This window comes from Homo sapiens, chromosome 9, assembly GCF_000001405.40.
Source record: "Homo sapiens chromosome 9, GRCh38.p14 Primary Assembly".
In the NCBI taxonomy this organism is placed as follows: domain Eukaryota; kingdom Metazoa; phylum Chordata; class Mammalia; order Primates; family Hominidae; genus Homo; species Homo sapiens.
The window spans coordinates 98,569,482-98,593,927 of record NC_000009.12 but is presented as its reverse complement, the minus strand read 5'-3'; the positions used below and the strand labels follow the sequence as shown (position 1 = coordinate 98,593,927).

Below are 24,446 nucleotides of genomic sequence, written 5' to 3'. Positions count from 1 at the left end.
CAGCTCTCATCTGTCAGGTGGGGGAGTGACCACCATGTCCCCAGCTGGAGGACAAGCGAGGCACATAATTAACTCCAGCTGAGTCGCTGCAGAGGGAGCATGGGCACCTGAGGAATGAGTGTGGCCACGGTGACGGGGTGAGGACCCACCCTACAGCCCCCCTTCATCTGTGAGCAGGCGGCCAGTGGGTGTTTGCACATGGGGGAGCTGTCGGGATAGCTCTGGCCCGTGTGCTAGGAAGGACTGTCAGATTCGGGGACATGGCTCCCAAGGGAAAGTCGGTAGCGTGGGCAGCTGGCCAGTGCCTCACCAGCCTTGTGCCCAGTGCTGGACTCAGCAGTGTCCCCTGGACCCAGCACCCCCTCCTGGCTTCTCTACCTCAGGGGGTCCTGGTGGCCCAGACTCACACAGCCCCTGAAGGAAACTAGGACTCCCCTCTCTCCTAGAGGCTACTCTTCCTCTTGTTCTGATCTGACCCCTTCCCCCTGCTCCTGCCATTGTCCCTGGACCACTGCACTGGTCTCTCACCCCTCCCCACGCCCTGCCCTTCCTCACTTGAATAACGACCTTCAAGTGGCTGCCAGGGTCGTCGTCCCTGTCCTCAGCTCTGGCGATGTCATGATCAGGTCGAAGCACTCTTGAGAAGCCCCAGGGTTTAATGGGTGCAGAGCTTTTCTGTTTGGGATAATGAAAACATTCCGGAAATAGACAGTGGTGATGGTTACACAACATGGTGAGTGCACTTAATGCCACTGAGTTGTACACTTAAAAATAATTAGAATGGCCAGGCATGGTGGCTCACGCCTGTAATCCCAGAGCTTTAGGAGACCTAGGTGGGAGGCTCGCTTGAGGCCAAGGAGGTCAAAGCTGCAGTGAGCCGTGATTGTACCACTGCACTCCAGCCTGGGCAACAGAGTGAGACCCTGTCTTCAAAAAAGAAAAAATAAATAACTAAAATAAAGTGGTAAAACAAAACAAAGGGAAACTCCCTATGGACTGAAAAATAAGGGGCAACCTCCTTAAGCTGGCACTGGCTGGCTCAGGGCCTACCAGAGGCTGCCCCAACCTCCTTTTCCAGTCTCACCCCTCGCATCTACCATTCACCCTTTTAGTGCTCCAACCTGGAGAGTTACTGGACTTGCTGTTCTAAGACATATCCTCACTTTCCCTGGCTCTTTGCCTTCCCTTATGGATTCTCAGGATTAGAATCTATTCCTTCACTTGGTGAAATAATCATTTCTACAACACTCTCCTGATGACTTATTACTGCTTTCCAAGGCCTTTTACACTATCTCTGGCCAGCTCTAAAGAGATGGCCTTATTTCTAAGAGCATAAGGTTTGGAGTATGATAGCCTGGGTTTGAGTGCAGGCTTCATGGCTTACCAGTCATGTAATCTTGAACTTGTCAGTTAAGCTCCCTGAACCTGTCTTTCCTCCTCTGTTAAATGAATGCTAATAACAGTATCTACCCCATGGAGTCACTGCAAATATTAAATATAAATAGTAAGTGGGCTAATGCGTAAAAAGAATTTAGCTTATTTCCTAGCACATAGGTCAGTATTAAATAAATGTTAGCTGGATATGTATAAATTGAACCAAAATCTGGCCTTGAGTGCAGACAAAAACACACACTGGTAGGCTGGAAGGGATCTGAGAGATCATCTGTGGCAGTCATAGTAGGCTCCCAGGTATCTGGTTCTCTCCTCACTTAGTAAGTTGCACTTTGTGTCCCTTATACTTGGGTGGGGCCATGCCTGTCTCATGGGCCATGTCCAGTCAATGAGGTCAATTTAATTGCTGGCTGAGCCTCTCCAGAGTTTTCATTTTCCTTCCCCATTAGCAACTGGCTGCATTCAAGATGGCGGTTGTTCCATTAGCTTGGGCTCCTAGGTGTCTGGGATGTGTCAAGTGCCCCCCTTGCTTGAGAGAGGAATCAACTTTTCCTGGGGTGACCCATTGACATTTAGGGTTTGTTTATTGCCAAAGTATAGCCTGCTTTGCTTTGCAAACTCTGCTGAATGACAAATCTGCTAACTCAACATTTTTGTTTTTTAAGTGAAGCATAGATGAGGTGGGGGTCACAGAGTGAGGCAGTGGCAGGTCTGGAGCTCATATCCTATGCCTGACATAGCTGGTTTATTCTTTCTTCGATCTCTTTCCTCATCAGTCTCTCCCATCATTGACCTCCCATGAAGGAGACTACTGAGATGGACTCATTTGAACGAGTCTTGTTGATATCATGAATTGGTCAAACCCACGCCTCACAGGCCTTTAGCTAATGAATTCCCCAGTGGACACATGTCTCTCCTAGGGGTGCTAGGCCAAGTTGCTTGCCAAGCCATCCACCAGCACTTCACGCCTGGACCAATGCACCCACCTCTCCCTAGCCTCCTTCCTCCCCATTGGGTCTTCCTCCTCTGCCCCAGCTGCCAGAGGCATCTGTGTAAAGCAAGTGCCTCTTCCCTCTCGGCACTCCCCTGGTGAAAGTGCTGCAGTGACTTCTTACTGCCTGAAGGAAAGAAAACCACACCTACCTGTGTTCAGTGTTCCCGACGCACTGGCTCAAGCCAGTCCGAACCCACCCATCCCTTCTCCATCCTGTGCTCCTGCTAGTGAACACGATGGACCTCTTCTCCAAGGTGCCCCGCAACTTCCTATTTCCAAGCCTTCACTCTTGCTGGTAACTCAGCCTGGTGTGCCCTCCCACCACCTCAGTCTCTTGTTCCTCTCGCAAGGCTCAGCTCAAATGCCGCCTCCTCCAAGAAGTCTTGGCAGAATATCTCAGTGCAATTTGAATATTCCTTCCTTTTTTGCGTGACTTTTGTCTCTGCCATTGCTCCCACTTCTATCCTGCCCTGTGTTATGGCTTTTTGTTTGAATCTTCTCTTCCCTCCTGAATGGAAAGCTCCCTGATGGCCAAGACTGTATGTCACTTTTTATGCGTCTTCAGCATCTACCATGAGACCTGGTTCTTCATCACCCAGGGTGCGTTTATGGGATGAATGAATATTCTCTAACTCCAGGTCCAACCCTCCATTACACCATTTACTACATGTTGCTAAATTATTTCCATGTCTCTCACCCACTCCACATTATAAATCCCATGAGAGCAAGGACCCAGTCTTACCCATCTCATCTTCCCCTACCTAGCTCAGGCGCCCAGCCAATGTTGAACCAATGTGCCCCACAAATGTGGAATGGAAAGGAGTGGCGATGGCTTGGTGGCACACGTAGTTGGAGTTTGGTATCTCTTAAGAGGGCGATCCAGCCCCCACCCCCGGAGAAGGGCTGCCAACATGTGATATTTGCACAAACCTGCAGAAAAGAGCACCCCTCTCCTGATCGGCAGCCCGAGTACACTTTGTGTTTGTGACCCTGACTTTTAAAAATGTCACACCTGCATATGTGGGGAGGCTTACTGACAGCTAATTAGGAAACGCAGTTTGTATCTCCCAGTCTTTGAGAAACATTTTGTAAATTGGGTAATTGGCTTTAATAGTGCAGAGGAGAGATGTGTGCTATGGCTCCATCATCTTCAAATAACACAGTCTGCAGCCGGCCAAGAATTCAGAGTGACAGCTTCAGGGAGAATACAGAAATGCCAGTTTTTCTCAGTATTCAGGATGGACAGCCTGGCTCTCTGGAGACTTTTAGAAGCAGATGGTCTGTCCATCACCCCGGGGAAGGGGTGTGAAAAACTCAAGATGGCTGGAGTTAATAAGCTGTTTGGGACAGAGCTATGGATATGACTACTTTTATTTCAGGCTCTACCCACCAGCAGTGATTGTATCTGCCAGGCAGCAGTAATTTAGTCCAGCTAGGATGTATTAAACACCTGTTTGGGGCCAAACTCTTTGATAGGCAAAGGGGGACAGAGGCGAATAAGATAACCTAGTTCAGCAGGGCATGATGGCTCATGCCTGTTATCCTAGCACTTTGGAAGGCCAAGGTGGGAGGATTGCTTGATACTGGGAGTTCAAGTCCAGGAGTTCAAGACCAGTTTAGGCAACACAGTGAGACATGTCTCTACAAAAAATTAAAAAATTAGTGTGGTGGTGGTGGTGTGCACCTGTGGTCCCAGGTACTCAGGAGGCTGAGGTGGGAGGATCACTTGAGCCCAGGAGGTTGAGGCTGCTGTGAGCCATGATGGCACCACTGCACTCCAGCTTCAGTGACAGAGGGAGATCCTGTCTTTAAAAAAAAAAAAAAAAAAAAGACAGCCAAACTCAGCATACCTTAGTTATATCTGGCTGTATCCCTGAAATTCTGGTTTGACGTAAGTGTCTTGAATGATAGGAGAACACTTTTTAAAATGTAAGGCATATATACTTTGTACCCTTTCCCATAATCTTTTCTTGTCTCTCTCAACTGTCTTTACCCTTCTTTAATAGTTCCCCAGGTGTGCTGATTCTTTATGTTTCAAAATGCTTACAGCAGGCGTTTAAGGATGTTTGTTAGATGATGCGGCCTCTCTGTAGTGACTACACCTCTATAGCCCAGAAGTTTCATGCATGAAAGTTATTTCTTGCTTATGTCATTGTCAAGTGCAGCTTGAAGGGGTGTGTTGGTTGGTGTTCTGGGAAGCAGATGCTCAGAGTTAGAGGGGCCCTGGGGAAATTCCTTTGAAAGGATATGAAGAGAGATGGGCAGGGTGAGCCTTCAGACTGTGCGGTGGGTCTGACATCAGTAAAGGGTGTGGGGAAGGAAAGAGGCTCGGGTAGGAACAGTCCCTGGCAGCAGCACTGCTCTAAGAAAGTTCCAGCTGGACCAGTGGGCTCAGAGATCACCTGTAGTCAGGTCTTACACTGGCCAGAAGTGAGGAGCCCTTGTTCCTCTGCCATGCTCAGTCCATGGTTGGTGGGGTCTGGGAAGAGGGTGACCTCCTCTGAGGCATACCCAAAGACGCCACACCTGGAGGCTGTCAGCTCGTGAGACTGCCCTCCTTGGGATGGTTTCTCTCGTGACATAGTGGTGTCCCCTTCCAGGCTTGCCATAGGGATTTGGGATCTGGGGGGTTTCTTCCTGTTTCAGGTCCTTGCATTTTTTCCCCACTCACACTGTGGATGGAAAAGAGCACAGAATACCCATGGAATGGTTTTACAGGCCAACCTGGGCATGGCACACATCGTCTTTGTTCATATTCCATTGCCCAAAACTCGGTGGTCACACCTAATTGTCGGGGGGAGGGGCTGGGAAATGTAGTCTTACCCTGTGCCCGAAAAGAACAGAACATGGATATGATGGAGCATGGACTCTGGAACCTGACTCCATGGGTTTGACTCCCAACTCTGCCCCTCACTCACTGTGTGCAACTTGGGGCAAATTACTCACCTCTCTGATCCTCAGTTTTTTCATCTATTAAAATGTGGATAATAATGGGACATGGTTCATAGGGTTGTTGGGAGGATTAAGTGAGTTAGTGTATATACAGCAATTAGAATAGTGCCTGGCACAGGCAAATGCTATGTAAGGGCTCACTGTGTTATTATTATTACTATTCTTGTTTCTAAATTTAACACTTCAGTAAATGTTTCTTGGGTACCTGTTCTGTTCAAAGAATTTTTAGAGGTCACATGAACTTACTGTTTCCTGGACAGCTCCTAGTACTTAGTAGGTGACTGAAAATGTTTCAATGAATTAGTTGCAATGACAAAACAATATAGTGTATATTTAATTCAGTTGGATATGGTGCTGGGCTAATTTTGAACATGATTTAGCAATGATAAATGTTAAAGTCTGTTCTTAGGTTCAGAAAATCACCCACAGATGAACAGAAAGAGGGAAACTTCAGTGATTGAGAAAGCACCCTGGGTGTGGAAAGCTTACCAGTTTAAAAATGACTTTCTGTCTTTATAAAAGTAATCTGTATTTTTTTTATTTAAGTAAAAGAAGCAAGTAACAAAAAACCACTGAAATCTCATAACCTTTAACATTCGATGATTCTCATTCCAGACATCTCTCTATGCATATATTATAAAGAAATAATTTTATAAAATGAGATCATTATTACATCCTACTTTAGATCGTTGTTGAATTTTATTTATTTGCATATAACAGAAGAAAATGAGGAAAAGTAAAATAGAAGGAATTGCTCACCATTAAACAATTTTGCCTTTGCTACAGAAAATATTTGTTTCCAAAATGTCTCTCCAAGGGTAATAAAAGATTATGAAAAGCAGTGAGGTTAAAATCCTGGCTTTTAAACTACAGTTTTCAATTTTAGATGGTATTGATTAAAGCCCTTCTATGGAAGAAGAGGAAATTAACAATCTTACAACTTCTCTTCCCTCTTCTGCCTCCTGCATTTTATGTTCCATTATTATCTTCACATTGCCAGTTGTTTCATGTTAAATGGGTCTGGCTCTCACTATCACTCCTTTTTTACCACAAGTCCTCCTCCATTCCTGAGATTTATATTTTTGATTCATCTTTTGGTTGGCTGGATTTTATCCAGTAGGTTTTTTCTCCCCTGGGCACCAAGGAAGGATTGTCGGTGTTTTGCTACCCAAGATAATAGGTGCTGATTTAGTAGTTTTTACTGACAGCAAGCTCTGTATGATGTAGGAGCCCAATAGAAGGTGTGCAGACTGAAGCCGCATTAACAGAAGTCAATACTCAGAATGCGGGAGGTGATTGTTTCATTCAGCTTGGCATTGTGGCTGGGAGTGCTCTGAACAAATCAATAAGGAAAAGACAACCCAGTAGAAAAATGGGCAAAGTTACCAGTCCAAAAGAGGAAACACAGGCTATAAGCATATGAAAAGATGGCTTAACCTCTTTAGTAATCAGGAACATACAAATTGAAATGTGATATCAAATACCCACAAGACTGGCAAAAATTAAAGCTGGCAAGGATATGGAGCAGTGAGATCTCTAAAACACTGCTGTTGGGAGTGTAAATGGATCAAACCACTTAGAGAACATGCAGCAAACGCTATGATTCAACAATTCAATTTCCAGGTTTATACCCTAGAGAAACTCTTCATATGTGTGCAAGGAGGCGCGTATGCAAATATTCGACCATCTTGCTTACAGCAGCAACCAAACACAATGCTGGAAACAGCCCAAGGGTCCACTGGCAGAGGAATGAACAAACAAACGGTGGCATATTCACACAATGGCATATTACACAGCTATGAAAATGAATGAACCACAGCTATATTCAGCGGCAAAAATCTCACAAACATAATGTGGAGCCATAAGGGCAAGTTTCAGGTGAAATGTATAACACAATTCCACTTATATGTATGTTCGGAAATGAGTAAAATTAAATGATACAGTGTTTAAGAAACATGTACATATAAAACTGTAAAGAAAAGCAAAGAAGGGGCTGGCACGGTGGCTCACTTCTATAATCCCAGCACTTTGGGAGGCCAAGGCGGGTGGATCACTTGAGGTCAGGAGTTCAAGACCAGCCTGGTCAACATGGCAGAACCTCGTCTCTACTAAAAATACGAAAGTTAGCTGGGCACAGTGGCATGTGCCTGTGATCCCATCTACTCAAGAGGTTGAGGTAGGAGAATCACTTGAACCTGGGAGGCAGAAGTTGCAGTGAGCCAAGATCATGCCATTGCACTCCAACCTAGGTGACAGACTGAGAGTCTGTCTAAAAAAACAAACAAACAAAAAAAAAAAAAAAAAAGAAAGAAAAGAGAAGAAAAGAAGGATAAATGCAAAATTCAGGCCTGGGGCTCCCCCTGGGTAAAGGAGGGCTATGTGCAGGTGTGGGCGCAGAGGTCTTCAACATAGCTGTGATGCTGGATATACTGTCTGTTCGCATTACTATTTTTCATACTTAAGTTATTGTATATGGAATATTTTCTGTGAGTGAAATATTTCACAGCACATTCTTATTTAAAATGAAACCGTGCTCTGAAGTTAGACTACCTGAAATTGGGCAAGTTATTATTTCTGAGCCTCAAATTCCTTATCTGTAAAAGGGAAATAACAGTACAGGTTGAGTACCCCTTATCCAAAATACTTGGGTCTAGAAATGTTTCAGATTTTGGGGTTTTTCAGATTTTGAAATAGCTGCATTATATTTAAAGACTGAACATCCCAAATCCAAATATTCAAAATCCAAAATGCTCCAGTGAACATTTTTATTGAGTGTCATATTTGTGCTCAAAAAGTTTTGGATTTTGGAGCATTTTGGATTTCAGATTTTTGAATTAGGGATACTCAGCCTATACCTTTTAATAATATTGAGAGGCATGAATAAGATCCTTGACATCAAGTTCTTAGTACTGTGCCTAACACATATATATTTTTTTAATTTTATTATTATTATACTTTAAGTTTTAGGGTACATGTGCACAACGTGCAGGTTTGTTACATATGTATACGTGTGCCATGTTGGTGTGCTGCACCCATTAACTCATCATTTAGCATTAGGTATATCTCCTAATGCTATCCCTCCCCACTCCCCCCACCCTACGCCAGTCCCCGGTGTGTGATGTTCCCCTTCCTGTGTCCATGTGTTCTCATTGTTCAATTCCCACCTATGAGTGAGAACATGTGGTGTTTGGTTTTTTGTCCTTGCGATAGTTTGCTGAGAATGATGGTTTCCAGCTTCATCCATGTCCCTACAAAGGACATGAACTCATCATTTTTTATGGCTGCATAGTATTCCATGGTGTATATGTGCCACATTTTCTTAATCCAGTCTATCGTTGTTGGACATTTAGGTTGGTTCCAAGTCTTTGCTAATTGTGAATAGTGCTGAGGGCACAGTATACGTTAGCTAGTGTCGCTTTTCTGGGCAGGGTAGATGGAGGTATTTGGGGGACCATTCTAGGTGCTACATGCCCAAAAAATCTGTCCTCCAAAGGCTGTTTGTGAAATGACTCGTAGATAAGCAGGCTGTAAAACTATCCTGTATGGGGATGATTGGAAGTGCTAAGGGTAGTTTAGCCTGAAGACATCTCTCGGAGTCACTCTGCGGAGCTTAGCTATCTGATTTCCAGGCCAATGATAGGAAGAATTTTCTAAGAAGCAGAGCTGGCCGAGGACAAATTAGCTCCCTAGTGAGAGAGTGAGACCCCTGGCACTGGACGGACAGACGTGAGCAGATACTGAGTGCTCCTGCGTGGGAGACCCAGAGGGGACTTTCTAACGGGGGCAGGTTGGACACATTAGCTTTTAAATTCTCTTTCCATTCTGAAATTCTGCATGGAGTAATTCCCAGTTTCAGATGGGTTGTTATTAACTCTGACATTTTCTTGGCATTTTTACATTTTAACTCTCAGCAACATTTTCTTTGAAATTTTTAAATCAAAAAAGTATTTTAATTCTTTAAAAATGAGATTTAAATGAAAATGGATTTCATCTGGAGCCTCACTTTTTCATTTGAAAATTGATTTTCATGGCTTTTGGATCTGTTCCCATGTTTAAGTGCTGAATTTTAAGAGCCTATATGTGCCAATGGTGATTTCTCTGTGACAAGTCCTTATAGGGAAGGAGAAGCCCTTGGCAGTGGAACAGCAGACAGGAGATGTGAGGTGGTGACCATGAGCTACAGTAGAGGAGGAGTCAAAGGAAGGTAATAACAAATACCAGAGAGAAGAGGGAGGGAGGGAAGGCAGCATTTATTGAGCACCTACTATGTGCTAGAGCCAATCTCCAGGTGGCAAGACTGAAGACAGAGGCTAGGCCAGTCATGAAGCTTTGAGTTATTGCATGACAGTTTGAACTGTGATTAATTACTTCCTGCCTGCTGGTCAAGTTGTGGCCATGCCAACCAGTCAGAATATCCTCTAGAAGTGAGTGGGGTTTCCGGTGGGGGAGGTGTGGTGGGGGGAAAGGAGAGCATGATAAAGCCCATAGCTTTCTTCCAGGACACAGACCCCCACTTAGAGTGGCTCTGAGAGCAATTCATCAAAAACCAAATCACAGAAAGACAACTTGCTGTAAATAACTTCTCAGAATGATGGTTTTGCCCAGTGAACATCTCACTAAAAGCTGTCAGACAGACAACTTAAATGGGGTATTGAAAAGCTTCTGGCATGTTCCTGGCTCAGGCCAGGGCTGGTCCACAGGAAAAGAAGGGTAATCAACAGCCCTTTAGGGGGACATCTTCACGTGCAGCATTTGAGAAGGGAAAATGTGAAATACGCATAACATTGACTTTCACCTGAGCTGGAAGGACAGATCCTGTGAAATGGCTGTGGCAATGTGTCTGCAAGGAGTCCTTCAGGAAACTAAAACCTAGAGAAGTTCCCCAGTGATTTGGTGACTTGATCATCAGGTACATTCATGCACAGTGGATTAACTTGGAGTGAGTAGCCTATAGCGTATATGCCAAAACGCCTTGCTTATGAGACATTCACCCACCCTTCCTGAGGCCAGAGACAAACACTATACTCTGTAAGGACCTCCAGGGTCATATTGGTGGTTTTCAAACATTTTTGCTGCTAGCAATGAAGCCTGCTTTAAAATTAAGTGTTCTGTGGAGCTCTGATGCTGCAGCTGAGGCAGTTGGGAGAGGAGCTGCTGGTTGAAGTGAAGGTGAGGAGCTCAGTGCTTCTTTCACTGCCCTATCTGCTGGGCTTTACGCCCCTGAGGGGCTGACTGTAAAAAACTCTAAGCTGATCCAGCCCCCAAAATTCACCTTTGGTGAGCTGGAAAGTCCATCTATTTGGGACGCGAATCATGTCAGGTAAGAAGACACAGCATTAGAAATTAGGATAAGGGAAAATAGCATCGAAAATGGGACAGATATATCCATGTGATTTATTTTGTTATTCACTGCAAAGTTGCTCCCTTTAGGGGAGCCAGGGAAGCATGCTTGGTGCCCAGTACGTTGTTTCTCTTGCTTTTAGCCAAGAGCTCTGATCTGGAGGAGACCTGGGCTTGCGGCATTATCCTGGGGGAAATGGTCTTTTTTTCTAGAATGCTGTTAGCTTTAACCTTCTCTTCGGTTGAGTCTCTAGACTATTGGAATGCTGAGAGACTGGGAATCCAGAAATCCCTCTCCTAATCCTGGCAAGACAGTGGACAAATCCCTTCTCTCTAGTCCTCAGTCTCTGCATCTGAAAATGAGAGTGTGGGGCTAGATTAGCAATGCCTAGATGTTGGGATTTCACACACCAAGAAGGGGAGGGCCGTGGAACAGAAACTTACATAGTGTGAAAATTTTTTCTATTTTATCATGTCAGGACATTAAAAACAAGACCTCTCTCATTTCTATCCTTTTGTAACAGAAAAATATTTCAACACCATTCAACTACAAAGGACCTTGTCTGTAAATTAAGGATCATTTTTCAAATGGAATTAACTTTAAGGAAAACCATACTGTGTCATTCTTATTTTTCACATTTTACCTGAGTGTATTTGCTTTCTATGCTGCTGTAACTGATCACCACAAATTTGGTGATGTAAACCACACCTATTTATTGTCTGACAGTTCTATGCCAGAAGTCTGGACACAGTGTGGCTCCCCTGGGTCCCTTGCTCAGGGCTTCATATGACCAAAATCAAAGTGTCATCTGGGCTGGGTTCGTATCTGGAGGCTCAACTGGGGAAGATTTGCTTCCAGGCTCATTCTGGTTATTGGCAGAGTTCAGTTTCTTGCAATTGTAGAACAGAGGTCCCTGCTTTCTTGACACGTGGACCTCTTCATCTTCAAACCAACAATGGCATATCAAATCCATCTCATGCTTCCAATCTCTGATCTCCCCTCTGCTATTAGGTAAAGAAAGATCTGCTTTTAAGGACTTATGTGACTACACTGGGCTTACCTGTATCATAATTTAAGGTCAACTGATTAGTAACCTTCATGACATCTACAAAGTCCCTTTTGCCATGTAACATAAAATATTCATGGAGGTAATTCCAAGGGGTGAAGGTCAATGGGGCCAAAACTTTGCCCGCCACACCCACTCTGGTGAAAATTCAGTCAGATAAATATTTGGGAACGTTGTAAGATTCTCCAGCTCCAATACTGGTTGTCAAATAGTCTCAGATATTTTAGTTGACATATCCCAGTGTTTTGTATTTGTGAGAAGCCGTGACATCATTACTAATACAGAATCTTGCATGGGCTGGATATTCAGAAAGTGTTTGCTAAGCAAGCATGTATTAATAAATTCATTGTTGCTAATATTATTTAATGCAACTTTGATTATAAATCCTGTGGTACTGTAGTATCGTTGTCATTAGCTACAGATTAGAAAAAAAGCCAAAGTCATTACAGAAATGTATTAAAACTATAAATGATTCAGTAAATCATGGTAGATTCCAAAAAAAAAAATCATGGTAGAAACAATTAAAACATGAACTACTCTGTTATTATCTGCTCGTGCTCTGTTGGGGGTGAGAAGTGTTGCTTTCAATCAAGGAACAGGGATAATTAATAGAGGGCCCCAGAAGCAGTAAGAACTTAATCTTTCCTCCCTCCCTCCCTGTCTCCCTCCCTCCCTCCCTCCCTCTCTTCCTTCCTTTCCTCCTTCCTTTCTCTCTTTCTTTCTTGGGGAAATAAATTAACTTGGCCAGTTTTTAAATTAAATTAAAAATTTTAAATTGAATTATTTACCGAAAATCTGTAGTATTCAAACTCCCTACCCTGATGTTGAGAGCTCTAAGCCTTCTCCCTGGCCACCTCATCCTTGTCACTCACTGTTGAAGCAAGCTGGGTTGTTTCTGTTCCCGTCTCACTTTTCCACCTCCTTGCCTGTATTCGTGCTGCTTTTCCGCCTACGATTCCCGTCTCAAGTGTTCCCTCTTCCAGAGCCCTCCCTGGCTTTCCCTGCAGTGCCCACAGCCTGGATCTGCCTCTGTCCCACAGCACCAGCCACCATCCCCCACGGGAGGTGACTGCGTGCCCCGGCCTCACTGCCTCCACCATCGGTGAGCTCCCCGAGGCCCAGGAACCATGTCGGACTGAGTCCTCTGTCCCTGTTGGCACAGACATGGGTCACAGATCAGAGGAGTTTCTCAAATAAATGAAGAGGGAGCAAGAAATCCTAGTTCACTCTGCTCCCATATAGCGGTCACTTAAGGGGAAGGTGGAGAACAAGCAGAAAAAAATGAGGAGGACACAGAATGGAGAGAAAGACAAAAATAAGGAGAGAACGTGGAAGTGTAGAGCAAGGAGGAGGAGAGCAGATGAAGGGAGAGTGTCCAACAGATTTGTTTGTTTTGTTTTGAGATGGAGCCTTGCTCTGTCAAGCTGGAGTGCAGGGCGCGATCTCGGCTCACTGCAACCTCCGCCTCCCAGGTTCAAGCGATTCTCCTGCCTCAGCCTTCTGAGTAGCCGGGTTTACAGGTGCATGCCACCATGCCTGGCTAATTTTTGTATTTTTAATAGAGACGGGGTTTCGCCATGTTGTCCAGGCTGTTCTCAAACTCCTGACCTCAACTGATCTGCCTGCCTCAGCCTCCCAAAGTGCTAGGATTACGGGCGTGAGCCTTCGCGCCTGGCCCCAACAGATCTTACTGAATCTTTACTGAGGCCCCTCTCCAAGCTCTGGGGAGACAGCAGTGAAAACGATGACAAAATCCTTGCCCACCTGGGGCTTTCATTCTAGTTAGGAAATCAGTCAATCTACAAGTGAACAAAAAGTAGACAAGATGATTTCAGATAATTTTAGGAACTATGTTAGGGCATTAAATAGGGTGGCATGTCAGGGAGGGAATGGGGGTGGGAAATATTTTGGGGAGGGTGACCTGATTGATGGGAAGGAGTGAGCCATGCTGAGAACCAAGGAAATTGTGTTCCCAGCAGAGAAAACAGCAAGTGCAAAGGCCCAGAGGTGGGAAGGAAAATGCTTTTGATTTCAGGGAACTGGAAGGAGGTTGGTAGGGCTTCACTTGGTGAGCAAAGGGAAGAGAAAAGGGAACTCAGGCCAGATTGGGAGTCAGCAGCTGGACTGAGTGGCTTCCATTGTGATAAGGAGTCTTAAGAAAATGACCCCAAACCTGTACATAGTACAAAGATGTGATTCTGTGACCCTTTACCCTCATACTTAGAGCATTTTCCAACAGTCCTGCCTAAGGGTCATCTGACTGCGGGAATAGAACTTTGCTCAATCAATTAAGACCTAAACATTTTGCAATCCTCTAAAACAGATAAGATATGCTGATTTTCAGTGATTTTCTTTCTATCCCCAAAGGTTGTGGTTTTATTGCCCTGTAGGACATTAACCAGTTTTGTATCTAATTTGGCACTCTTATCTTATTCCTTTTTTCAGTCCCGGTTCCTTAAATTCTCTTTTGAATCCACTTTGCCATCCTGCAGATCTCCTTATTAATGAGTTAAATAAAACTTTGACATGTGTTCACTATCGATTTTCATGAGAATTATGTTTTTAACCTTTTGAGAGTTATATTGTGATAGGAGTTTGGGTTTTAAGTGCATGGAAAGCAGGAAGAGTGAGAAGAATTCATTGATGTTTGACAAAGGACCCTCAGACAGCTAGATGGTGGAGGGGTTGAACTTGCCCATGGGGAGGTAAGACACCCAGTAGAAGCCAAAGCCACTGTCCAGGGGAGAGATGACCACAGGGTTTGACTGAGGGAGGTGGGGATGGAAAGGCGCTGAGTGAGCCAGAACTGAATCCTGATACTCGTCGTGGGCCCCTGGCCTCTTTCCATTCCTATGCTGGGTCGCCGTGAACTGTTTCCTTGGCCAACTTTTCTCTCTAATACGGAAGCTCCTTGGCAGGGGCTGCATCCAATTTTTATGTTTCCTCAACGTCCAGCCCTGGACTGAACACAGAGTAGTCCTTGGCAAGTGTTTGCTGAATGAATCTTCTCTTTAGATTTATCCTCATCATCATTTTTTTAAGACTGTGGTAAAAATATACATAACCTAAAATTTGCCATTTTAACCATTTTTATGTGTACAGTTCAGTGGCATTAAGTACATCTACATTGCTGAGCTACCATCACCATCATCCACCTCCAACACACTTCCATCATCCCCACTGAAACTCTGAGCCTGTCAAACAATGAAGACCCCTTCCCTGCTCCCCCCAGCCCCGGGCAACCACCATTTCTACTTTCTTTCTCTATGAATTTAACTACTGTAGATAACCTCATATGAGTGGGATCATATAATAGCTGTCTTTTTGTATGGCTTATTCTATTTAGCATAATGTCCTCAAGGTTCATCCACGTTGTAGCGTGTGTCCGAATTTCCTTCCTTTTCCAGGCTGGAAATATTCCACTGCATGGATACACTACTGTTCCATTATCCATTCACCTGTTGATGGGCATTCATGTTGTTTCCATCTGTTGGCTATCATGAATGATACTGCTATGAACATGGGTGTACAACTATCTCTTCAAGTCCCTGCCTTCGGTTGTTTTGGGTATACGTCTAGAGGTGGAATTGCTAGATCATATGGCAATTCTGTGTTTAACTTCTCCAGGAACCACTATACTGTTTCCACAGCAGCTGCACCATCTTACATTCCCACTAATAGGGCACAGCAGTTCCAGTTTCTCCACACCCTTGCCAATACTTGTTGTTTTCTGTGTGTTTTTTTAATGATAGCCATTTTAATGAGTGTGGGATCATCCTTAAAATATAAATGGCCATGAAAAAGTGAGATCCCAGGGCGAGGCATTATGGGACTTTTCCTAAGTGTGCTCTAAAGGGAGATAGCTGGGGTGCTGGAGAGAGGTCCTAGATTTGGAGGGCACTTAGCGGGAGCAGAGACAGGATAGTGGGTGCCAAGACCACACTCCTGGAGCTTACAGCGTGGACTCAGGGCTGGCTTAAGGAGACTCCCCACCATGGGAGAACTGAAACCCAGAAGGTTTCCATGAGGAAAGATTTGTTTGTTGGGCTCATGCCCCTGGGGAAAAGCTGTTTCTAATTTGGACCTTTCTTTCTATGTGTTGCTTCCCAGTGCGACAACGCAAAAGGGTTGAAAGCCTTCTACGATGCAATAAAATACGGGCCTAACCACTTGATGGTGTTTGGAGGCGTCTGTCCATCCGTCACATCCATCATTGCAGAGTCCCTCCAAGGCTGGAATCTGGTGCAGGTAAGGTCTGAGCTACCTTCTTTTGTGGGGAGGTGTCTTTGGTTGGCCCTCAGTCTTTTGCAGGAATTATTCCTTGTACAATGTGGTTTCTATGTTGCCTGGGTCAGGCCTCCTGGACTTTCTCCTGGGTGATAGCACAGCCTTTCACTGCTGGCCTGACTTGGCATGGCCCCCACAGTAGGTCTCTAAAGGGCAGCCCTGATGCTATCACCATGTATTTGAAGGCTTCAGGGCTCACCACTGACTCCCTAGCCCAGCTTTCAGAGCCACTGATGCCAGTCCAACCTGCCTGCCCAGTGTTATCTCCTGCTCCTTCCACTTGCTCCACAGCACAGCCTTGCCAGACACCCTGCCTTTCCACACATGCGCCCTGGACCTTTGGGCCTCAGAGCCCTGCTCTCACCGTTCCCTTAACCAGATGACTCCTCATCAATTCTCTGCCAAGTCTCCCTTTCCCACTGAGATTCTCTTTTGTTATCTACGACTGCCTTTGTCCTCGGTTAAGTCTTTCCTGGTCTCCTTGCCAATTATTCACTCTTTGCCCTGGCAGATTTTATACATCATTGAATGCTCCACCAACATATATACAGTCTATTGTAGGTGAGACTTTCCAGTGTTAGCTGTTATTTGGGATGGGAAAGAAGAGTGTAGAACTATATGACCACCAGGGGTGAGTGGTGGCCCATACACATGTTTACTTTTTTGCTCCATCCATCCATCCATCCATCCATCCATTCACCTATCCATCCATCCATATGTTCACCCATCCATTCGCCTAACCATCCATCCATCCATCCATCCATCCATGCATCCACCCATCCACCCGTTCAGCTATCCATCCATCCACACATTCACCTATCCATCCATCCATCTGTCCATCCATCCATCCACCTATCCATCCATCTTTCCATCCGTCTGTCCATCCATCCATCCATCCACCCATACATCCATCCATCCATACATCCACCCACCCATTCACCTATCCATCCATCCATCCATCCATCCATCCATCCATCCATCCATCCATCCAACAAATATTTTAGGCAACTTACTCTGTGCCTGGATTTTGGTAGGCACACTGGGGATACAATGCTGAACAGGATAGGTATGGTTCACATTATTCTGGAGCTTACATTCTAGGAGGAAGACAGGCAAGAAGCAAGTAAGTAATTAAATAATAATATTATTAAGGTTGTATATGGAGGGTCTGCCATGTGCTAGACACTGTTCTTAGTATTTTTCTGCGTGAACTCTTTTAATTTTTAAATCCACTCTATGCTTTAGGTACCTTATCCCCATTTTATAGATAATGGAACTGAGGCACAGAAAAGCTATCTAACTTGCACAAGGACTCACAGCTAGTAAGTAGTAGGGCCAGGATTTTAACTCAAGCAGTCTGGCCCTTAAGATAAGACTGTAGTAAGGAAACTTGGCGATGACAGAAGGAAACAGGGTGATGAGATATATAGTGACTGCCTTGGGGTAGTCAGAAAAGGTCTCTTGGAGGAGGTGACATTCAAGCTGAGACCCAAAGGGTGAGAAGGAGACCACTGGGTGAAGCGCATTCCATGTCAGTGAATGGAATAGTAAACGGAGGAAGGCAGCTTGTGATAGGAAAGGACCTGGTGTATTCGTGGAACAGAAAACAGGGAAATGGGGCTGGAGCATGATGGGTGGGGAGCCAGGGTGAAGAGAGTGAGTGACAGGGTGAGCAGGAGCCTGACCACATAGAGGATCTGTTTCATTCCACTTGCACTGGCTGAGGACTTCCTCTGTGTCTGGTGCTGCATGCATGGGGTGCTGGGGTGGAGCCCAAGCTTGCAGCCACGAGGGGTGGTGGGCACAAGCTATGGCAGGTGTGATGAAAGAGAGGTGGGGCCCGGGCGAGGGCCCCTCACTTAGCCCCGGGTCAAGGAAGCCCCAGGGCAGGTGCTATGGTAGGTGCATGAAGCTGGCTGCTGAAGGAGGAGAGGGCGTTGGACAGCTGGAGACATGGGGGAGAGCGCCGCTGCAGAGGAAACTGGGCGTGCAAAAGCGGGAGGTGGGAAAGTATGTGGGCTTGGGGAGTGCTGAGTCATTCCTTGTGGCCGGAGCAGGCCACACTGATTGTGGGTGGATGCAACAGGAAGAGGAGACCAGAAAAGCAGCCATGTGCTCTGGTGCAAACCTAACCACAAACCTAACCACACACCTGAAAGCCAGCATGGCTCAGTGTGCCGTGGGAGCCTGGCCTCATGCCCTCAGGGTGCCCAGGACAGCTGTGGAGACCTTGGACCAGTCACTTAGATTCTCTGGGCTTGAGCTTGCTTTCCTGAACATTGAGGAGCACATTCTCTATTAGTTAGAGCCATGTGCTGCCTCCCTGAGCCTCAGTTTCATCATCTGCATAATCAAGGTAGTAATAGGACTGCTTTCATTGGTTTGTTGTGTGGATGGAAAGACTGAAAAAGGATTAGAGCTGTGTCTGGCACACAGTTAGTGCTAACTAAGTGTTCTTTGTGGTTAGTCCTGCCCTGTCTCCTCCCACTCCCCAAGTTGAGTCCCCTGATTACTTGTCATTCCTGGTCTTTCTTGCATTCCCACCTTTTCTTACACTGTTCCTACCACCCAAAACATCCCATTCTTCCTATACCCAGTGTATCAAGTGCTGCCCATTCTTTAAGACCCAGCTTAAATGCTGCCTCCTTCAGGAAGCCTTTCCTGCCTGCTCCTAGGGGGCTGCTAAAGTAGGGCCCTAGAAAGCCTATCACTTCCCCTTGTTTAATTCTAGCAGAGCTTGTGCACAGCCCAGTGTCCCACTCCACTCTGCCTGTCTCTCTCTTAGGGTTTTGCAGATTTGGGGGGGGGTGGTGGTGTTTATAAATGTTTGTCTCTCCAGCTGGGCTGTGAGCTTCTTAAGGACAGAACCTGGACTTTTCTTTTTCCCTGTGCCTATCATTTCACAGTCTTCATTAGAAATCTGCTCAATGATCAGAGGGATGGAGGGAGGTGGGAAGGGATGGAAGGATCTGAAGATGGACGCTTTGTCCAGGCATGAGAGGCTGAGGTCCCAGGGAAATCCCCTGCCCAGAGAGGAATCCAGCTGATTCCACTGATTCTCAGTGTCACTTGGAACCACCTGTCCCTCAGAATTCCCTGAGGAGCTGCAGGAACAAGCACAACGTTGGAAACTCCCAGCTTGCAGACCACAGCTACCTGGCCTCTCCATGAGCAGGACAGCCCTCCAACCTAGAGGAGATGATAAGACATAGAACTGGGTTACAAGATGGGGACTGTGTTAGTTATTTACCACTGGGTAACAAATCCCCCCAAATTTAGTGTCTTAAAACAGCAATATTATGTATTATTTCATTATTTCTCTGGTTCAGGAATTCAGACACACTGAATGGCTTGTGTTTGCTCCATGGTGTTTGGGGCCCAGCTGGAGGATTTGAAGGCTGGGGGCTGGCATCATCTGAAGGCTTGATTAGGGCCGAAGGATCTGCTTCCAGTGTGGCTCCTCTCCATGTGGAGGTCTCCATAGGGCTGCCTGAGTGTCCTCATGACAAGGCAGCTGGCATCCCCCAAAGTGAGTCACGAAAAGACCAAGGCAGAGGTGACAAAGTCTTTTGGGACTTAGCTTTGGAAATTGCATACTATAAGTTCTGCTGAAATCTGTGGATCACACAAATTAGCTCTTATTTAGAGAGGAATAGTACCAAGGTGTAGTGGGAGGTAAGCTCACTGGGTGCTAGCTTGGAGACTGGATACTATAGTGACTAATGTCTGGAGGAAGGCAGGAACTCCAGTTGCCCAGCAAGGGGCACTTGATGCTGAGGCCCTGCCCTGTTTTGCAGAACTCCTGCTCATCCTTCAAAACCCCGGATACCACTTCCTCTGTGATGCCTTCCCTGATCTCCTTCTTTTCCCCCTTTCCTTCAGTGCCGCCCATTCCCCGCTCAAAAAGTAAATTAATTATTTCTTCCTCCGCTACACCCTGCATTCCCAATAGGGGGTGATATCTTCTCCAAGGGAGTAAACATTGGTTCTTGTGGCGAGGCAAAAAAAATCTTACTTTTTTAATGTATAAAGCATAGATATAGATGTAGTACACAAACAGATCTATGCATGCCTGTGGTATTACAATTTCACCAGGGGGCAAGAGTAGGAAAAAACAGCCAGAAAGACTTCTTAGGAGACTAACAGTGAAACGAAGGTTGAGAAACACTGTTCTACATCCTTCTATATTGTGTACAGTATTCTCTTATTAAATAAATTTCATGTCAATGAATTGTACACTTAAAATTGGTAAAGATGGTAAATTTTATATGTATATTTTACCTCAATTAACAAAAATAAAATTTAAAAAATGGGCTGGGCATGGTTGCTCATGCCTGTAATTCCAGTGCTTTGGGAGGCCAAGGCAGGAGGATGGCTTTAAGCCAGGGGTTTGAGGCCAGCCTGGGGAACATAGTGAGACCTCATCTCTACAAAAAATTATAAAATTTAGCCGGGTGTGGTGGCACACTCCTGTGGTCCCAGGAACTTGAGAGGCTGAAGTGGGTGGATTGCTCAAGCCTAGGAATTCAAGGCTGTAGTGAGCTATGATCATGCCACTGCACTCCTGCCTGGGCGAAAAAGCGATACCCTGCCTCTATTAAAAAAAATAATAAGTGTTGTGAAAAATAATTTGTTCTATATGCCAGTCTTCCATATCAGATTGTGAGCTTCTTGGGGGCAGCCCTTCCCCACCCCTTCCTTCATCTCCTGGTTCCCAGTGTCTGGCGCAGGGTCTGGGCTCACAGTAGGTCCTCACTGAGTACTGAAATGTGCTAAGTGCAGAGGATAGGTGGACGGAGGGGCCTGAGATGCTGCATGGCGGAGCCTCTCACAGTGTGGCCCTGACTGTAGGGCAGGGAGGGCGGTGGACCATGCAGAATCTCAGCCTCCACCTCCACAGAATCGCTCTGCATTTTCCCAGGCTCCTTGTGGGGGAAGATGCTCACACCCAGACAATACTGCCCTAGCATTCACTACTAGACACTGGGGCTGGATCAACGGCTGCAACTGGACGTGGATGGGGCATGCTGGGGGGGCTTGGAACTGGAGGGTACTCAACAGTTTGGACTTCTCTGAGGACCTGGGAGGCAGAATGGTAGATGAGCCCAAGAGAGTGGATTTCTCCCAGGCTTGTGCAGCCAGGCAAGGAAGATATAAGAACAAAGATCAGGATCTTGATCTGGGAGTAGCCTGGGAGCCTGGATTCCTGCCTCCTTCTCACTCTCAGGAAACCTAGACCCATTTATTATAAGCCAGACTCTGTGGACCTCCCAAGCCACCCCAACCCCAACACAGGGAGGCTAAGCTTGTTTCCAGAGATGGTGAAGGGGTGGATGGGTGGGTCTACAGGTGCCCAAGGGATTTGATAAATCTCTTAACTTACTCAAGACTGGGCTTCAAAACAGAGCTTCACAAATGGAAAACTGCATGGAATTTGTGTAATTGAAAAGGAGCTCTGGCGGCCCTTTTTGGAGGAGCAATGCTTGCTGGACAGAGACAGCCAGGAATGCGTAATCAGTTGTTTCTGTTTCCTTGTGTCACAAAAATAGGGATTCACACACCAGAGGGGTGAAAATTCACCCTGGTGCTGAAACGGGTTAAATTTAACTTTTGCCTTTTGCTGGGCCTCTTGATTCATAGCTGCTGCATAGAGAGGCTAATATTGTTTTAGTCGTGATGTGAGTCACTTAGCCACTGGGAACCTGTTTCTCCCTCTATATGCAAGGACCTTCATAGAGTCCAGGGTCTGACATGCAGGTGAGATTGGTTCTGTCCCTCTCCAAACTGTCAGAGCCTGCTCAGGGTGCAGGGCTCTGATCTGGGCCTCATGCTGGGAGGAACCCACTAGGGCATGACCCAGGAAAGCATCAGGGAAGGGTCAAGGTCTAGACATTGGAGAGCTGAGGGTGTTCAGCCTGGAGAGCACATGGGGCACTGGGGAGGAGGGAGGAGTCCAGGCCTCCAGCATTGCATGGCTGTCTTTGATAGATTTTGCTGGTCTCTGGTGCAAGTGGGGAGAAGCAGGAGCCACGGCCAAAGTTATCAGGGAGCAGCGTTTCCACCTCCTGCAAGCAAGCCCTGCCTCTGGAAGCTTCCAGCATGGAGCACGCTGCCTGGCTGTGAAGTCATGAGTTCCCTGTGGGCCAAGGTTCCCTGAGAAGTCCAGTTTCAGCCAGGCCTGCTGTTGGGGAAATTTAATACACAGAGTAGGCATAGACCAGGTCAGTGGCTCTCCAACTATATGGGAAGAGTCACTTACGGGGGTTCTTGGTAACAGTGCAAATTCTAGGGCTCCACTCTGAGCAGGTCTAGGTTAGGGGATTTATCAGATCCCTCTAGGACTGTATTCCCCGCTGATCAAAACCACAGCCATTTCAGTACCAGTGGCTCAGGTGACTGTGATGCTGTTGGCCCCTGGAGACTTGCCAGGCCAGGAGCTCTCTAAGGCCTGTTCATCCCCCAGACACCTGGGCTCTTTAACAAATGCTGCTGGTCCAAAAAACTCCAACTGATGCTGCCCGTGTGGGAAAGAGGACATGGAGGCGGTCACAGGGGGATGCTGCCAGGGCAAGTATCCCAGTGCCGCTAGGATGAAGCTCACAGTCCATGGTGGGGCACAGTCCATGGAGTGCACCATCACCTTGCCGTTTTCCCAGCCCACCTCCTGCCCCTTCATGCTGCCAGCCTCAGTACAGGCTGCTGGCAGGACTATGCTCATTCTTCCTGGTGCAGCTTGGGTGTCCCTTCTTTGCAAAGCCCCCCATGGCCTCCCCTGTGCTTCCTGACCTGACCTGCACATCCCTCCCAGGGTGTTTGCTATGTCTGCCCACCCCCGGCCTGCAGCTGCCTGAGGTTAGAATTGTGTCTCATTCACCCTGCCCCTCGGCCTGGTACAGGCCTGGCAGTGATGCCAGAGCAGTGCTCAGGGCGTATTTGCTGACGGAGAGCCAGGTGCCTGCCTTCTAGGCCTTGGGTTGGTCCCCTAACAACCAAGGGCACGTCATCAGAGTGTGCCAGACCTAAAGTCACCCAAGGACTCTCCAGCTGCAGCCTCTTGTTAAACGGACACAGAGGGAGCCCTAACACAGCCTTGGGCTCAGCCTCAGCCCGCATCTCCCATCTCAGGAACCCCCGCCCCCTGGTTTTCTAACTGATAAGTTTCCTTTGCAGTTTTTTTCAGTCCCACCCAGAATCCTGTCCTCAGAGACCTAAGGGTGGCTTGTGTTTGCAGTTTTTGGGGCAGTCCTGCAGATCTCCCACCAGCCTGGTTTGTCCTGAAAGCATGGGGCCTGGGAAAAACCAGGAGAATTTGGAGCTGGGTGGGGAAGATGGAGACAGAGCATGGGAAAGGTCCAAGAGATGCTAGCAAGAGGGAGTTAGACATCCTCAGAGACCAGGACCACACTCCTTCCTGCTTGGGAGTGAGATTATCGCAGCTTCAGCTTGCAGACAGAAATCATCTTGCTGATGAAAATAAAGTCAGATTCCTAAAGGGATAAAGGGCTGCTCGTAGGAAAACGCAAACACTATTTCCTCAAGAACTGCATCCCACAGAGCTTGTCCTTTAAAAGGCAGCCGTGGCAGATTATTAAATTGTAGATGCATTTCTCCCAGCGCTGTCCCCAGCCGCCCCTCGACAGCCCACCCTGCCTTGTGGCCCACCTTGGCACTCCCCACGAGGACCTTCCTGGGAAGGAACATTTCGGCTTGTGTCATGGGGCTGTCTCCTTGGAGAAGTTCATGTGAGGGAGTGGAGGCAAGGAGGACTTTCAGATGGGAGGATGTTGACTCTATGTGTGTAGAGGTATTGGCAATGGAGTCCCAATACGTTTAGGACTTGATTTCTGAAAACTCGAAAGCATGCCTGGTTTTGACATTTAAAAAACAAATCAGTGAGAACCCCCAAATCAGGCCTTTTGCTATTTACTGAATTCTGGCATCATTCTAAACGGTCAGTCAATGCCATTTTGTTTCATAGGAACAGAAATTTTGTGATCTGACATGATTTTCTCAAATGATTATTTTATTAAACTGTAGGCTGTCTGAGAAATCAAAAGATTGCTTGTTGCTTAGCTGTGGCTTGTGGAATTTGAGGTAGATTCATGGAATGGCAGAGGTCGTAGAGGCTTAGCAGGCATTAGGTCCAGTCTCCCTGTTGTACAGGCTGAAAAACAGAGACCAGATGGGGTAGGGGCCTTGCCAAAGTCTCACAGTAACAGCGACACTGGGCTCCGTGGCTCACCCTCCAGCACTTTGCAGCATGTGCCATGGTCTGATTTTCTCTCCCTTAGCCTCACTTTCCTGTTATGTAAAATGGGAATAGCAAACCTGCCTTCTATGTTTTATGCAGTTGTTTTTTCTCCAAGGGAAAGCGCTTTTATAAACTGTAATCCAGTAGCTGCTGTTATGATGCC

The 24,446-nt window shown here is 46.4% G+C and overlaps 1 protein-coding gene across 1 annotated transcript in view, besides 1 other annotated feature; it reads left to right on the top strand.

The window, feature by feature from the left end:
- GABBR2 (gamma-aminobutyric acid type B receptor subunit 2) overlaps positions 1 to 24,446 on the top strand; it is a 420,827-nt gene that overhangs the window by 115,008 nt on the left and 281,373 nt on the right. Inside the window, exon 2 of the mRNA NM_005458.8 lies at positions 15,856 to 15,993. Coding sequence (NP_005449.5) covers positions 15,856 to 15,993 — 138 coding nt within the window. The remainder of the gene's footprint in view (positions 1 to 15,855; positions 15,994 to 24,446) is intronic.
- Positions 17,993 to 18,052: an enhancer, noted in NCBI's record as "active region_28698". NCBI's record gives its function as "activates an Ori minimal core promoter by ATAC-STARR-seq in GM12878 lymphoblastoid cells {active_cell/tissue: GM12878}" and the evidence as "EXISTENCE:reporter gene assay evidence [ECO:0000049][PMID:35858748]".